Genomic DNA, 17144 nt, shown 5'->3' on the forward strand with positions numbered 1-17144 from the left:
CTGGACATTACCTATTTTGTTTATTTATTAATTAGACTCTGTGATGATGAAGGAAGAAAGAGTCCTTCTGGGTCTTTCAGGCTGGTGGGTGAAAAAGATTGAATAGCAGTATTTCAAGAAGATTAGTAAGCTGTCAACTGCTCGACTGCAGTGGTTCCCCTTGATTTTGCTGAGAACTTTAGCTTGAAGAAGGCCTTCAAGAAATTGTGATATACTTCAAGACTCACTTAAAGCAACTGGCCCTTATCTACTCTTATGAACACTCGATCTAATTCAGAAAACACCTGGTGAGCCCCTACTGCAAGCCAACGTCTGTGGCAGACTGAAGAAACCACAGCAAACAAAAAGACATTCAAGAAAAGCACAGTTTAGTGGAGGAAACACATCTGTGGACAATTATTTCAAGTAATTGGTGAATATCATTATTAGATAATACATAGAGTTTTGAAGGAGCAGAAAGTATTAAAAGAATATTCTGGAGTCAGAAAAGGATTTAAAACATAATCTTAAAAAATAAGTCAGGGCTGGGTGCCATGGCTCACCCCTGTAATCCCAGCACTTTGGAAGGCCAAGGTGGGAGGATTGCTTGAGCCCAGGAGTTCAAGACCAGCCTGGGCAACATGGCAAGGCACTGTCTCTACAAAAACAAAAATTAGCCAGGTGTGGTGGTGCATACCTGTAGTCCTAGCTATTCGAAAGGCTGAGATGGGAGGATCACTTGAGACCAGGAGGCAGAGGCTATAGTGAGCCGAGATTGCAGCACTGCACTCCAGCTTGGGCAACAGAATGAGTCCCTGTCCCCCAACCCCCAAAAAATCAGTCAGAATAGCTGAACTTGTGCACACGGCTGACAGTCAGCGCTATTTGGTCTAAGAAAATTTCACAAAAGAGAACTCTGAAGTACTAAGCCTAACAGACAGGTAAGCAGGTATGTCTTTCCAGGAAGATGGGGTAATGCATACAAAAACTGGAAGCATAAAAAAAGGAAGTCCACATTAACGTAAGGTCCACTCACAGTGCCCATTGGGAGTCTTCTCAATTTCTTGTTAAAGTGGTCAGAGGATGTCAAAGAGGAGAAACATTAGTAACAGCACTGGGAGTAAAATGGACAAAATATAAAGTGGCATTTCTAATAGCTGAGCCCTGATTGGGCTTGACTACGAAACACTGTTTCAGACTCAGAACCTTACACTGTATATTTTGAAAGAGTACAGCATATATGTCTTCTAAATAAAGAAATTAGGAAGAGACTTTGATTCATACCAATAACAATCCCTAACTCCAGGTGCAGGCATCAAGTAGACCAACATCTGCATAACATCTGTTGTGGGTTAAATTATGTACTCCCGAAAGATATGTTGAAGTCCTACCCTGAATATGATCTTATTCAGAAAGAATCTTTATGCAATTAAGATGTAAATTAAGATGAGGTTATGCTAGAATAAGGTGGCCCCTTAAACTAGTATGACTGGCAACCTTATAAGAAGAGATGAGACACAGGGATGGACATACATGGAGAAGAGAAAGCCATGTGAACACAAAGACACACACAGACAGAGTGCCATATGACAAGACAGGCAGAGATTGGAGTGATAAATCTACAAGCTAAGGAATGCCAAGGACTGCCAGCAACATCAGAAACTAAAAGAAAGGCATCAAGCAGATTCTTCTCTAGAGCCTCCGGAGAGAGCAGGGCCCTGCCGACATGTTGATTTTAGATTTCTAGCCTCCAGAAATGTGACACTAAATTTCTCTTGTTCTAAGCTACTTAATTAGTGGTAATGTGTTATGGCAGTCAAAGAAACTAATAACACATGTCTTCGGCCAACAAGAATCAGGCTTCTATCTAGACTCTGATAACTTAGAACTTATTAAAAAAAAATCTTACGGTTAATTTAATTGGTAGTCCTCAAACTTTTTGGCACCAGGACAATTTTTTCTAAAGATGGGGGAGGTGGAATGGTTTCCAAATGAAACCATTCTACCTCAGATCATCAGGTATTAGATTCTCATAAGGAGCACGTAACCTAGATCCCTTGCATGTGCAGCTCACAAGAGGGTTCATGCTCCTATGAGAATCTAATGCTGCAGCCGATGTAACAAGATGGGGAGCTCAGGCAGTAATGCTTGCTTGTCCACCACTCATCTCCCACTGTGTGGCCCGGTTTCTAACAGGCCACAGACAGTTACCTGTCCACGGCTTGGGGGTTGGGGATCCCTGCTAGCTCATCAAACACATTCTCAACTTAGAAATCAGAACACCCAGCTGCACGTGACAAACTGACTTACAGTTTTAACAGTTTCCTGCAGCTGGAATCTGCTGCAAATGGAAGCCAATAGCCAATGGAAAGGAATTTGTTGGTCCCTATTTTTCCCCCATGTCCTTCTTTTCCAGCTAGTGAACCTTGGATCCTGATGCCTCTGGAATATAGCAGTGGAAAAAGGAAAGGTGAGGAAACAAGAGGTAAATGAAGCAGGAAAGTGCTTACTTTCTGCTCACTAAGCAAGAAGGCTCCCTCTTTGGGACAGGCACAAAGTTGATTCTCTCCCCGTTTGAGCTTTTCCTGGTTCTTCAGTAATCCTCACCTCCAATCACTGGAGACCTTTCACCTGTACTATGCTTGATGCAGGTCATACTGTCTCACTTTGTTACTTACTTCATCCACAGTCACTAGTCAGCTGAGACCAGTTCAGTTGCTGGGAAGCCTTAAGGAAATACCTAGGACAACCTCATGACAGCTCTTTCATATTCGTGGCCCACCTCTCTTCCAGAGGAATCTAACAACCCCTGAAAAATAGATGAATCCCCATTCAGAATCTTTACTTTGCTGTACCATAAGCTGCTCACCACCTCATCTTTGGTCTTTGAATTAATCAGAATCCAGTCCACTGTCTCCACTAAACCTCAAAACTTCAAGAGATACCTTTTAAACTCTCTAGAGAGTCTCCTTGAAGAGCTCTTTCTAGTTCTGAGGGGGAAAACACCCTACACCATCTCTCCTTGTGTATATTTCGAGTACACCTTCAGTTCACTCCATAAAATCTTCCTTTCATCTCCAGATCTCCCAGCCCTTTTGGATTGGAAACGTAGGAGGTATCTACCCAGTTCTTACACTCCCACTAGGGAATTTCTACAAGGTGATCTGGTTTATAAATCACATTAGTATCTGATAGCTATTGCTTTAAGGGGTCAAAGTTTTCCAATTTCACATCATATGATATTAGTTTTTCACAATTTGTGTTTTAAGAAACTCATGGGGGAAACAGCTAAAAATTATACAATATGTCTTCTGGATATACTATTTTAAAGGTGTCCTATACATTCCATGAATTTTACATTGTTCTTCAATATAATCTCTGTTATTCAGTCAAGTGGAGTGTCTAACAGCTGCCACGTTGTTCTATCCCAGTTCCATTCTTCAGGTCTATTCCTTCTACTTGTGGTTCAGTTCTTACTTCTCAGCACCTTCCAAATGTACTGCCCTGTCAAAGCTTTAATGACAACTTCTCCAGAAAGTGATCTCCAGGTACTTTGGACTCTGTTGATTTTATCGTTCTTCTACCTTGTGCAGCAATTATAGTCAATGCCTATAACTTATATTGCCTTCTTGAGTTGTCTTGTGCTGTCGTGTCTCCACAGATATATTTTAAGTTCTTCAAGGACAGTTATTTTAACTTGTGCCTCTCACATTTTTCCTTTTGTGCTAAACTCAATGATCAGCATATATGGAGAAGGTACCTGTTAAGTGCAGACACAATTGCTATCTATTAAATATCTATTAATGTAGGTAGACAGCGTTGACTTATGTGGCATAATATCCTTCCATGTCCTATGACAGAAATTGCATAGCAGTGGCATAGCAGTTGTTGCCGCACCAAGTTTTTTTTTAAATTTAATTTTACTTTATTTTAAGTTCCAGGATACAGATGCAGGACATGTAGGTTTGTTACTTAGGTAAACGCGTGCCATGCTGGTTTGCTGCACCTATCAACCCATCCCCTAGGTATTAAGCCCCACATGCATTAGCTATTTATCCTGATGGTATCCCTTCCCCCACCCCATTCCCCTGAAAGGCCCAAGTGTGTATTGTTCCCCTCCCTGTGTCCATGGCCACATTACATTTAAACACTATTTGGACATGTCAGATGGAAAAGAAGCAGAAAACAAAATAACATGAGAAATATGATATGACATTATGTAACAAGGATAACAAGGATGTTGTTTGGAAATATATCTAAATGCAATCCTTTTGCATTTCTCTGTGTCTGACCTCACCTTTCTGCCAGGCATAGCATTTGCCTCTAAAAAGATCAAGATTGCTACAAGATAAATAAAATTAAAAAAGGCAGTCTACATTTTGATGTCTGCCAATAATTCTGGATCCATATAGCAAGACAATAATCTTGAATATAAGGCTTTTCTTGTTTCCATTACAATATTAGAATTCAGACTTAGAAAACTAGATCAAGGACTTTTGCCATGCTAAAAGAGGAGAAAAGAATATAATAAACTACCTCAGGCTCAAGAGCATAGGCAAGAGGAAAAGAAACAGAGGAGGAAGTCAAACATGAAGTCTTCATTTCCCTTCTTTCTAAGTGAAACCCCCCACAAGAAAGTGGAATAAAGGTAATAGAAGCATTAGGACTAGCAGATGGCTTTTCAGGACATAGACTCAAAAGAACTTGAGATTTTCAGGGGAAAAAAAAAACATCATCCAACATCTAACATGATATAGGAACACTTAGGGTGCATTAGTGGAGGACAGTCTCTAAAAAGATGAACCTGAGACAAAATTGCATCATCTCAATAGCCAATACCTGGTATCCAGGAGCAATAGAAGTTCTCAAATACCATGAATAGGAGACAGGGGAGTGCAGGTGGACTTGGTCCCACCTAGTACCCTTTCCCAGAATGAGATCACATGAGGCCCATTATCCCCATCATCACAAGACTATAAAAGAAAAAGCAGAAAAGGAAAAAAGTCTAAAGCACAATCATTTAGCAAAAAGTTATCTCAGTCATCCATCCCAGATAAAAAAGAACTTAAACTTATGTAGTACAGTATCATTATTTTATAGATATAAAAACTAAAGACCAGAATGGCAGACTCATTTACTGAAGAGTATTATGCTTATGAAGACAGAGAAGAGGCAATGGTTCCAGTTTATCTAGCATCTACTCACATGCTGATGAACTATCCCACACTCTCATCTATAATCCAGCTTTTCTTTTCACTATAAGTTAATATTATTATTCAATTAATATTTTAAAATAAAAATTCCAATTTTATTTTCACTAGAAATATCAATGAAAATAATTTTAATTCATTTCTTTTAATAAATGATGAAATACATTTAAAATGAAAATAATGTTTTTAAAGAGTCTGCAGAAAACTATTAGATTTAATTAGTAAATTTAGCAATGTTACTGAATTCAGAGTTATTTTACAAGAACAAATTATGCTACCATAATGAACAAATAAAAAATAAGAATTATAACATTTAAAAGAGAATTAAATATCTCAAATACTCAGAATAAAATCTAACAAAAGATGTTCGTGATATCTACACCAAAAATCTACAAAATAGTATTTAAAGGAAATAAAGCAAACAAAAATAAATGGAGAGAGATGCATCATGCTCATACATGGAAGACTCAATATTATAAGGATGTCAATTTTCAAATTAATCTGGATATTCATGGTAATCACAACCAAAATCCCAGTAGTCTTTTTTTAATATAAAAATTAACAAGCTAAAATTTGTACAGAAATACAAAGGGCCAAGATTAGCCAAGGAAGACAAAACTAGAATTTTTAAATTGCCAGATATCAAAACTTATTATAAAGCTTTTGTAATTAAGACAGTAACTGGTACAAAGACAGACAAATCACATATGAAACAAAAGAGGAAGTCCAGAAACAAACTCACACAAGTTATAACAACAAATTACACAAGTAAATTATGGCAAGTTTGACAATGTAGAACAGTAGAGAAGGGGCAATTTCTTTACTAAATGGTGCTGAATGAATTACATATCAATTTGTGGGGAAAAAGTGGATCCTGACTCCTACATATACAAAAATCATTTCCAGAGGTTGTGCATTTACATGTTCAAAACAAAACAATAAAGCTTTTAGAAGAAAATATCTTTCCCTTTGGGGCAGATCGTGATTTCTTAAACAGAGTATAAGTGGTAACCGTCAAGGGAAAACATTAAAGTTTGACTGCATTTAAATTAAAAACTTCTGTTTACCAAAAGATGCCAAGTAGAATATGAAATGACAAGCCATGGAGTATAAAAAGAAACCTGCAATACTCAGAATATATACAATAAACTTTCATAAATCAATAAGAAAATGAGACAACTGAATAGAAAATTGGGCAAAAGTCATAAATATAAACTTCACAAAAGAAGGCTTTCAAATTTTCAATAAACATCCTAAAAATCCCTCACCTTTATTAGTCTTTTGGAATGCAAGCTAAAATTACAATGAGATGTCACTATAAGCAGACAAATGAGGCTGAATTAAAAAAAAAGATAATAGCAAGAGTTAGCAAGGATGTGGAAGAATGGTACTGTCATATCCTGCTGGTAGGGGTAGAAATTCATGTAATTATTTTGGAAAAGAGTTTGGTAGTATCTCTCCTTTGATAGTGTCTCACCTTATGGCTGTGCAATTCCACTATAAAAGTTGCTGAATATTATGTACAACAATATTCTCAGTAGCACTATTCACAATAAGAATTAACTAGAAATAACCCAAATTTCCATAAACAGTAAAGCTGATTAATAAATTAAGATATATTCATACAATGAAATGCTATGCATTAATGAGACTGAAGAAACCCTGATTACATGAACAATATGAATATCACAAACCATGTTAAAGAAAGAAGTCACATGGAAAAAGTATGTACTATAGGAAAACATTCTGTTATGGGCTCAATTGCATCCCCTCACAATTCATATGGCAAAGCTCTAACACTCAGTTAGACTGTCTTTGGCAATAGGGCCTCTAAGGAGAAAATTAAGGTTAAATTAGGTCTTTAGAGTGGTGCTCTAATCTCATACAGCTGGTGTCCTTGTAAGACGAGAGAAAGACACGAGGGATGCATGAGCACAGGCTGTGAGGGCACAGGAAGATACTGTCTGCAAGTCAAGGTGGGAGGCCTTGGGAGAAATTAATCCTGCTGGCACCTTAACCTTGGACTTTTAGCCTCCAGAACTGTGATAAAATAAATTTCTGTTTCTTAAGCCACCTAATCTATCGTATTTTATTATGCCAGCCCTGAAAAACTAATACACATTTATATAAAAGTGGGAGGAAACGCTCTGAGGAGGATACAGTACCTGAAAGAGGACATGAGGAGAGTCTCTGGTGTGCACCAAATGTTGTTTCTTGATCTAGGTGTTGGATCTTCAGGTATATTCCTTTTGCAAAAAATGTATTGAGTTGTACACTTAAGATTTGCTCACTTTTCCTTCGATACACTTTTCAAGTGACATTAAGATCCAAATTCATCTGTCTATGGCCCTTAAAAAATGGGCACTATTAGATTTTGTTTGTTTGTTTGTTTGTTTTCAGATGGAGTTTCACCCTTGTTGCCCAGGCTGGAGTGCAATAGGGCGATCTCGGCTCACTGCAACCTCCGCCTCCCGGGATCGAGCGATTCTCTTGCCTTAGCCTCCCAAGTAGCTGGGATTACAGGCATGCGCCAGCACGCCCAGCTAATTTTGTATTTTTAGTAGAGATGGGGTTACACCATGTTGGTCAGACAGGCCTCAAACTCCTAACCTCAGATGATCTGCCTGCCTCAGCCTCCCAAAGTGCTTGGATTACAGGCATTAGCCACCATGCCTGGCCGATTTTTTAAATAATTCCTGATTTTAAAGGTAATCAAGAAGAAATAAAAGGAAGCTTTCAATCTGCAGGTGTTCTTCATTAGCACTACAGGTGTGATCATTGGAGAACCGACGTTTCAGGGCTGCACCTGAAGACAACAGCAGTCTTTCCCTAGAACACATTCTGTTTTTAATATTTTTGACTTAGATTTCTCCTCAGTTTATTTAATCACTTTTATGTACGTTTAATTTAGCATAGAATATATGTCTATTCAATTTTAAAGCATATTTGTATACTTAACAGTGTATATATTTGAGAAATTCTTAAAATTTGGGCAACTTTAGCCAGGAAACACCCAGTGTCAGACTTTCAGTGCTATGCCTGACCTCTGAAATTATTTCCTTTTGTAAACACTAAATCTTAGTGTCTTAAATTTAAGTATAGTCTTAAATTTTTAGAAATAACATTATTATCATTATTGTAATAATAAAACTAATCCTTCAGTACTGCCAAACAGAAACCAGGCATTGTTCTAAGTTACTGTCTTGCATATTAAATACTCATAACAACCTTCTTGGCTGATTACACTATTATCCCCATTTTATAGATGAGTAAGCTGAAGCACAGTTTGGTTACCATGTTGCCCAAGCCACAGCCATCGAGCAAAAGTAAGATTTGAAGGCAGGGAGCTGCCACAAACCCCGATCCTTTGACTTCTCAGCTGAGCTAATGTGCCTCAGTTCTTTCCACATGTGCACCTGTTACTCTAACACAAATTCTGTCTCTATGTCTTATTATTAGAATGTATTCTTCTTACTGTGAAATTTCTCATTTTATTTTAAATGTATGTCCCCCACAAATTCTATTCTTTGTATGTCTTTGCTATTTTCTATATTTTCATGCATTCGTTAGAATTTTAAACATATTATATCTTTAATTTAAAGTAATTATTATCGCCTAGGAGTTTAAAGAAATTTACGTATATCATTCTATACATTGCAACACACACACACACACACACACACACACACACACACACACACATCCACCACTATTCTCTGAATTGCATTTTAGGTATTTTATTACATATTTTCTTACCTTCTATGTCACACCATTGCCAAAGTCAAATTCTGAGAGTTTAGACCTCTTATACTCAAATGGTGATCCATAAACTGCAGCATCACCATCACCTAGAGTTCGTTAGAAATACAGAATTCCAAGCTCCACCCCAGACCAGCTGAGTCAGATTCTTCATTTCAACAAGAGCACCAGATGATCAGAAGGAATATTAAAGTTTCAGAAACTTGCTTTAGATGACATAGTGCTCTAAACTAGGGCTTTCTTAATTCTTCCTTCAACTAATTTATTTCCCTAATTTCTATGAAACTTGCTCTTGTAATTTTTTTTTACCACTAAGTGTTCTAGTCTGTTATAATTAATAATATGGAATGCTTCATTCCCTTATCAGCTTTCCTGCCTGGAATATTATTTAATTTTCATGAGTTAATTATTGAGACCCTAAAACAGAAGCTTCTCCTCTTTTATTTTGTTGTGCAGTGGTTTGTAGTTCTCCTTGAAGAGGTCCTTCACATCCCTTGTAAGTTGGATTCCTAGGTATTTTATTCTCTTTGAAGCAATTGTGAATGGGAGTTCACTCATAATTTGGCTCTCTGTTTGTCTGTTATTGGTATATAAGAATACTTGTGATTTTTGCACATTGGTTTTGTATCCTGAGACTTTGCTGAAGTTGCTTATCAGCTTAAGGTGATTTTGGGCTGAGACGATGCGGTTTTCTAGATATACAATCATGTCATCTGCAAACAGGGACAATTTGACTTCCTCTTTTACTAATTGAATGCCCTTTATTTCTTTCTCCTGCCTGATTGCCCTGGCCAGAACTTCCAACACTATGTTGAATAGGACTGGTGAGAGAGGGCACCCCTGTCTTGTGCCAGTTTTCAAAGGGAATGCTTCCAGTTTTTGCCCATTCAGTATGATATTGGCTGTGGGTTTGTCATAGATAGCTCGAAATAAAAGAGGATACAAACAAATGGAAGAACATTCCATGCTCATGGGTAGGAAGAATCAATATCATGAAAATGGCCATACCGCCCAAGGTAATTTATAGATTCAGTGCCATCCCCATCAAGCTACAAATGACTTTCTTCACAGAATTGGAAAAAACTACTTTAAAGTTCATATGGAACCAAAAAAGAGCCTGCATTGCCAAGTCAATCCTAAGCCAAAAGAACAAAGCTGGAGGCATCAGGCTACCTGACTTCAAACTATACTACAAGGCTACAGTAACCAAAACAGCATGGTACTGGTACCAAAACAGAGATATAGACCAATGGAACAGAACAGAGTCCTCAGAAATAATGCCACATATCTACAACCATCTGATCTTTGACAAACCTGACAAAAACAAGCAATGGGGAAAGGATTCCCTATTTAATAAATGGTGCTGGGAAAACTGGCTAGCTATATGTAGAAAGCTGAAACTGGATCCCTTCCTTACACCTTATACAAAAATTAATTCAAGATGGATTAAAGACTTACATGTTAGACCTAAAACCATAAAAACCCTAGAAGAAAACCTAGGCAATACCATTCAGGACATAGGCATGGGCAAGGACTTCATGTCTAAAACACCAAAAGCAATGGCAACAGAAGCCAAAATGGACAAATGGGATCTAATTAAACTAAAGAGCTTCTGCACAGCAAAAGAAACTACCATCAGACTGAACAGGCAACCTACAGAATGGGAGAAAATTTTTACAATCTACTCATCTGACAAAGGGCTAATATCCAGAATCTACAATGAACTCAAACAAATTTACAAGAAAAAAACAACCCCATCAAAAAGTGAGCGAAGGATATGAACAGACACTTCTCAAAAGAAGACATTTATGCAGCCAAAAAACACATGAAAAAATGCTCATCATCACTGGCCATCAGAGAAATGCAAATCAAAACCACGATGAGATACCATCTCACACCAGTTAGAATGGCAATCATTAAAAAGTCAGAAACCAACAGGTGCTGGAGAGGATATGGAGAAATAGGAACACTTTCACACTGTTGGTGGGACTGTAAACTAGTTCAACCATTGTGGAAGTCAGTGTGGCAATTCCTCAGGGATCTAGAACTAGAAATACCATTTGACCCAGCCATCCCATTACTGGGTATATACCCAAAGGATTATAAATCATGCTGCTATAAAGACACATGCACATGTATGTTTACCGCAGCACTATTCACAGTAGCAAAGACTTGGAACCAACCCAAATGTCCAACAGTGATAGACTGGATTAAGAAAATGTGGCACATATACACCATGGAATACTATGCAGCCATAAAAAATGATGAGTTCATGTCCTTTGTAGGGACATGCATGAAGCTGGAAACCATCATTCTCAGCAAACTATCAAAAGGACAAAAAACCAAACACCGCATGTTGTCACTCATAGGTGGGAATTGAACAATGAGAACACACGGACACAGGAAGGAGAACATCACACACTGGGGCCTGTTGTGGTGTGGGGGAAGAGGGGAGGGATAGCATTAGGAGATACCCCTAATGTTAAATGACGAGTTAGTGGGTGCAGCACACCAACATGGCACATGTATACATATGTAACAAACCTGCAAGTTGTGCACTGTACCCTAAAACTTAAAGTATAATAAAAACAAAAAAAAAGAAGCTTCTCTTCTTATAAACATATTAGATTCCAAGGGCTGTCTGCAAAACTAGTTGTTTGAAAGGTTCTGTATTCCCCATATGTGTCTACAAATGCCATCAGTTGGAAATAATATACAGAACTGACATACTTTAGCTCCAGTGTGTAGCCTTGTAAATGTCTATGAGCGTTCCTAAGTTAAAAGATCAGTAGTAGAGGAGCTACTATTTTCTCAAAATCCTGTGTGATTTTATACTATCTGCTGTATTCACAATGTTCATCTTAAGTCTTGTGGAAATTCTTCTCAGGTTTTCTTAGCTATCAAGTATTCACTTACAAGTTGACCTAGGGGTTTCTTGTTTTTTGTATAAGCTGTCCTGAAGAAGTTCCAGAAAGATGACTTTGTAGTAATACAGGATTCTTGCCTCTGGCTAAAACAATCACCATCAACAATGTCCAAAACCAAACATAATAACAAAATAAAACCCTCAAAGAGAAATATCCCTTTGAAAACCATCAAATAAACTTCAAAAACCGTAAATTAATGCAAAAGAAAATCAATCTTATTTCAGTTTTTAAATTAAGGCAAAATTCTATGTTGGTAAGTGCTTATCACTGTTTTAACGAAATTCTAGTACCCATATCTTGATAGAAATTATGAAATTTCTTTATCACTTTATCTTTTTGCATTGGTTCTTGAATGATATTCCATTATATGAGCTAAGTAGGATAAGAATATTAATTTACTTGAGCATATGGTATCAAGGAAAGTAATTGTTTAGAATTTGTCCAATAGGAAAATATGAAGTGTTTGCCTATAGAATGGGCATTAGATGGTAATGAGTCAATTTTAACTGTGTGACGTGTGATAACCATATCAGAGTTATGTAAAATGAATATATTTATCTCTTAGAGATTTATATTTCAGTAAATTCGATTGAAATATCAAAAAATTATCAATGTAACATACTGGTATACATACACCACCACCACAAAATGTAGAAAGACAGAAGCACCCCACGCATCCCACAAAGACAGACAGAAAGAGGAACATTAAGAGCCTAGAAAAGACATCAATGATACAGAAATTTTAGCATCAATGCAGGAGGCTCCAATAACTCATTAGGTCATTGGATTAAAAGCAATGAAAGAAAAAATAATACGTTATTTTAAGGATTCACAATGTAACTGAAATAACACATTATATTTAAGAAACGCTACAAGCACCTTTTATTGAGCCTTTGCTCAAACTAATCACTTGGTATTTCTTTCACATATATATTATTGCTCTTACTCTTCACAATAACTATTGAAAAGAGACATGAAGAACAATTTTCCCATTTTCATAACATTTCTGATTTAGCCGAAAGAGGATGGAACTTTTACTACTAGGTAGTTTATGTGCATAACGCACTAAAGCATGTATAAAACATAGTATACAAATTTAGGTGTCCAGAGGAATTAACATTTTAAAAATTAGATAAAATTAACTGTCAGTCTTTGCCTCTATTCTTCTAGGATTCAACAATTTTGATGGAGAACATAAACAACAGAAATAATTCAGCTGAAACAAATTTTGCAATGTGGAAAGCACATAAGCACAGAAAACCCAAAAAATCTAAATTCAAAAAATAAACAATCTAAGCAAATGGAATTATAGTTGAATACCTCCATATCCCACTATCAAAGTATGACAGAAAAAGGAAACAAAAATAAAAACTACATTGTGCTCAATAAGTAGATTTATGCTTCTGGCAATATAGACACTAGTAATTCTAAAACGCTTTTCTGCTTCAAAACATTTAGAAATGCTTAATAAAACACAACAAACATACTTTAAAAAGCACTTTTGAATTTTAAAAAAGTAAGGATGATCTCACAAGGGCAAAATGAAGTCGGAGTTGAAACAATGGTTAACATCCTAGTGCAAAAATTATGGGTACATTGGTGGTGTTTACTAACACTAGGATCTTGGAACCTTGGATTTTAATAGCCTTATAAGAAATAGTGGAGAAGATTTTAGTCTTGTAAAAGATGAGCTGTTGGAGTTTACAACACTCAAAAGCCCAAAAGGGTGGACAATAAAAAAAAATTGCACCTTAACAGGGGTAAGTGACAAGGGAAATATTTGTGACATTTCTGGCTTGGAGTAGCAAAAAAAGGAATTCTTCTAAAAATGCATAATCCACAATCCTTCCCCCATGGCTTTTGGACTTTGTTTTCTACAGTTTATAAGTCCTAAAAATCTTTCAGAAGATAAATTAACTTAAAAGAGCAAATTAAATCCTCTTCAAAGGAATATAACCTCATCTTAGACATCTCAGGATTCCCAGAATTTTAAATAAACCAATAATAAGTTCGCAATCCAAAATTACACAACCTACCCAAAAGTAAGCCTTTATAAAGGAAAGTCCAAAGAAGCAACAAACACTAGAATTTGATTGCCAAGGAATTCAGACTTTGTACAGTCAGATAACACAAAATAAAATCAGTGTGTTAAAAATCCCTAAGAGTATAAAAAAGGAAATGTATTAGGCCATTCTTGTGTTGTTATACAGGAATACCTGAGACTGGGTAATTTATACAGAAAAGAGATTTAATTAGCTTACAGTTCTGCAGGCTATACAAGAATGGCTTGGCTTCTGGTGAGGATAGTAGTAAGCTTACAAACATGGTGGAGGGTGAAGAGGGAGTAGACACATCACATGGCAAGAGTGGGAGTAGGAGAGAGACGAGGAGGAGCCAGCCCCTTTTAAACAACCAAATATTATGTGAACTAACTGAGCTAGAACTTACTCCAAGGGGATAGTGCTGAGTCATTCATGAGATATCTGCCCCCATGATCCAATACCTCACACCAGGCCCCATCTCCAATACTGGGGATTACATTTCAACATGACATTTGGAGAAAACACACATCCAAACCATTTACAGAAACTAAAGACATAACAAAGGAATAATAGGATATTAAAACCAATTAGAATTTTAAAAGACTAAAAGTAACTTCTAGAAATTAAAAATTAAATAAATAAATTATAATCGCATAGATGCATTGAAGAAAATTAGGTACAACTTCAGAGAGGGACTTAATAAACTGAAAAATACATTTGAATCATTACATAAAACAAAGACAGAAAAAGTGATAAAACTTATGCAAGGTGGAAAAGAAAATAGGAAGTTCTAATTTGTGACCAGTCAGATTCCCTGAAGAAGAGAGAAGAGAGAATGGAGAGACCAGGGCCAGGCCTAGGTCATGGCAAGGGAATAGGGCAAAAAGTTTAAGGAGGCATTTACTCTTAAATTTTGTCATCTAGAAGAGACAATACTAAAAAAAGAAGTTTCAATTTTCCATAATTAAATATTTGGGTTCAGGAAACAGAGTTTTCCAAGCAGAATAAATAAAAAGAAATTTGCACCAAGAAGCTAGTAAAACAGTAGAATACCAACGATAAAGAGATCTTCTTACAGCCTGAAATAACAGATTGACTCTTGGTGCCCTACCCAGATTTCCTTCACCAAAACAGTAGACCCACACTCACCCTCCTATTGATAATTGTCCTCCTATCACTGGAAATGTCTCAAAAGTTTCATACTCCCTCTAGGGACAGCCCACAGCCAAAGCATGACTTATAAAAGGATACCAAAGGCCAGTACCCTAGCATGAATGGGGGACATTTTTGTGGAACCCTCAGGTTGCAGAGATGCTTGTGGGACCAGGCTGATCTTCTGCTAAGTTGCATTTTTAACTTGCAATTTTCCTGCTCTATCTTGTTTTTATTTCTGTTTTCATTTTTCTGATTCCAACTAACAAAACTGAGAATCCCCATCTTGAGTTGACTCTAATAAGTGCAAACTAAGACAATTAGCAATAAACAGATCACAAATATATCATATATCAACAGATTTTCAAAGCAATGACGGATGTCAGAAGGCTGTAGAAAAAATATAGTCTTAGTAGTGAGAAAAAAAAGTCAGTTAAGACTCTGTTCTTAAACTATAATTTGAGAACAAAAATGAAGCAAATATATATTCAGATGAATCAAAACAAAGTTTACAACCAAATGACCCATGGGAAAGGAAATTTTAAAGAAAGATTTTGGGGCAGAAAGAAAAGAATCTCAGATAAGTATGAGATATAAGAAGAACTGGAAAAAATAGTGAATAGGTAGGTAAACTTAATCAACAATAACTATTTAAAGTAATCATGTTTAATTCAATAAATAACAAAACAATGTAGAGCTAAGTGATTGTACCAAAAAAGAGGGAGGTGATAAAATTTCAGTTATAATATCTTGCAATACTGAGAAGGAGACGAGAGAGACGAATTAACTTTAGAATCCGATTATAAAAGTAATGACTCTAAGGTTAATTTCTGTAAAATAGAATTCAAGTGTATTAACTTCAAACCAGCAGAGTGAACAGAAGAAAACAGAAAATCTCAATCAGAAACAAGCCATGAGGAATTTCTGTTTCTGGCTATAATGGAGTAACTTGTCTTGGATTAGTCCATTCTGTACAAACAACCAAAAAGTGGCCAAAATATATTGGGAAAATATTTTCAAGCATTGCACAACATGCAGCACAAAACTGTACTTTATGAGTAACAGGAAAGCTCCATAATAGTCCCAGTTATCTCCTTAGTGATAACTTTCCAACCTCAGCAAAGCAAGTTGGAATCCAAGCAAAGCAAAGGGGACTGCAGCTCTTAGAAGGCAGAGATTAGAGTTCAAGGAAGCTGAAGTGAATGGAATATGCAAGGCAAGAAGCCAGAAAGGAAGTAGCTGCTCAGAAGGGAGGTTTCAGATATCTGAGCAGAATTCCCTGTGAATTCTTGGCCAAGGATTGAGCTATACTTGTCCAGGACAAGAATACATGAGGCATTTTAGAGAGTTACTGCTACTGATTGAGAATGCATGAGAGATGTTAGAGAAATTAGAGGTCAAGCAGTGACAGTGGATATTGGAGTTCATGTCACCCAGAGTGGAGATACCTCATTAATGCAGTCTAATACCCCAGGCAGCCAGCTGAGAAATTGGCTGCTTTATGAGTCATACTTTGTGAGTGGAGATAATGAGCTAAAGTAAGATATGTTTTAGATTCACCCTAACAAAGCTTAAAGCTAAATCTTGACAAGATCTACAGGAGACATAGAGTTCAGAGATTAAGTGAAACAGTTAGAGTGGCTTTTGACACATGTAAGGTTTTCCAAAGGTCTGCCCTAACAAAATGTATACCCTGGGATACATGAGTTCAAGGTGATCATCTACTAAACGTTTTTACCATGTATAACTACTTATATTACCAGATTACTAGATAGACATAAAAAAGTGACACATAGTAAAGAATAAGCCATCAAAAGAAACTGACCCAGAGATGGCATGGGTCTTGCATTTAGCAGATGATGACTTTAAATCAACTATTTAAACATATTCAAAAAACCAAAGAAAATGTGTTCATAGAATTAAAGGAAAATATAGTCTTAATGAAAGAACAGATGATGACTCTCAGAAAAGAAATGAAATCTATTTTAAAAGGCAAATAGAAACTCTATAATGGAAAGAACAATAAATGAAATGTAAAATTCACTAGATGAGTTTAACAGCAGGCCAGAAATAGT

The 17144-nt window shown here is 36.5% G+C and overlaps 1 protein-coding gene across 12 annotated transcripts in view; it reads right to left on the minus strand.

Annotated features, from left to right (window-relative positions):
• Nucleotides 1-17144, minus strand: part of INPP4B (inositol polyphosphate-4-phosphatase type II B) — an 823376-nt gene that overhangs the window by 703917 nt on the left and 102315 nt on the right. Inside the window, exon 1 of one of the 12 annotated variants that reach the window (XM_047416357.1) lies at nt 2290-2416. The exons of the other annotated variants lie outside the window; for them this stretch is intronic. The gene's annotated coding sequence lies outside the window, so the exon portion shown is untranslated. Of the gene's footprint in view, nt 1-2289; nt 2417-17144 lie in introns of those variants that run through there. 12 annotated transcript variants of the gene reach the window in all.

The sequence above is a fragment of the Homo sapiens genome, chromosome 4, assembly GCF_000001405.40.
Source record: "Homo sapiens chromosome 4, GRCh38.p14 Primary Assembly".
In the NCBI taxonomy this organism is placed as follows: domain Eukaryota; kingdom Metazoa; phylum Chordata; class Mammalia; order Primates; family Hominidae; genus Homo; species Homo sapiens.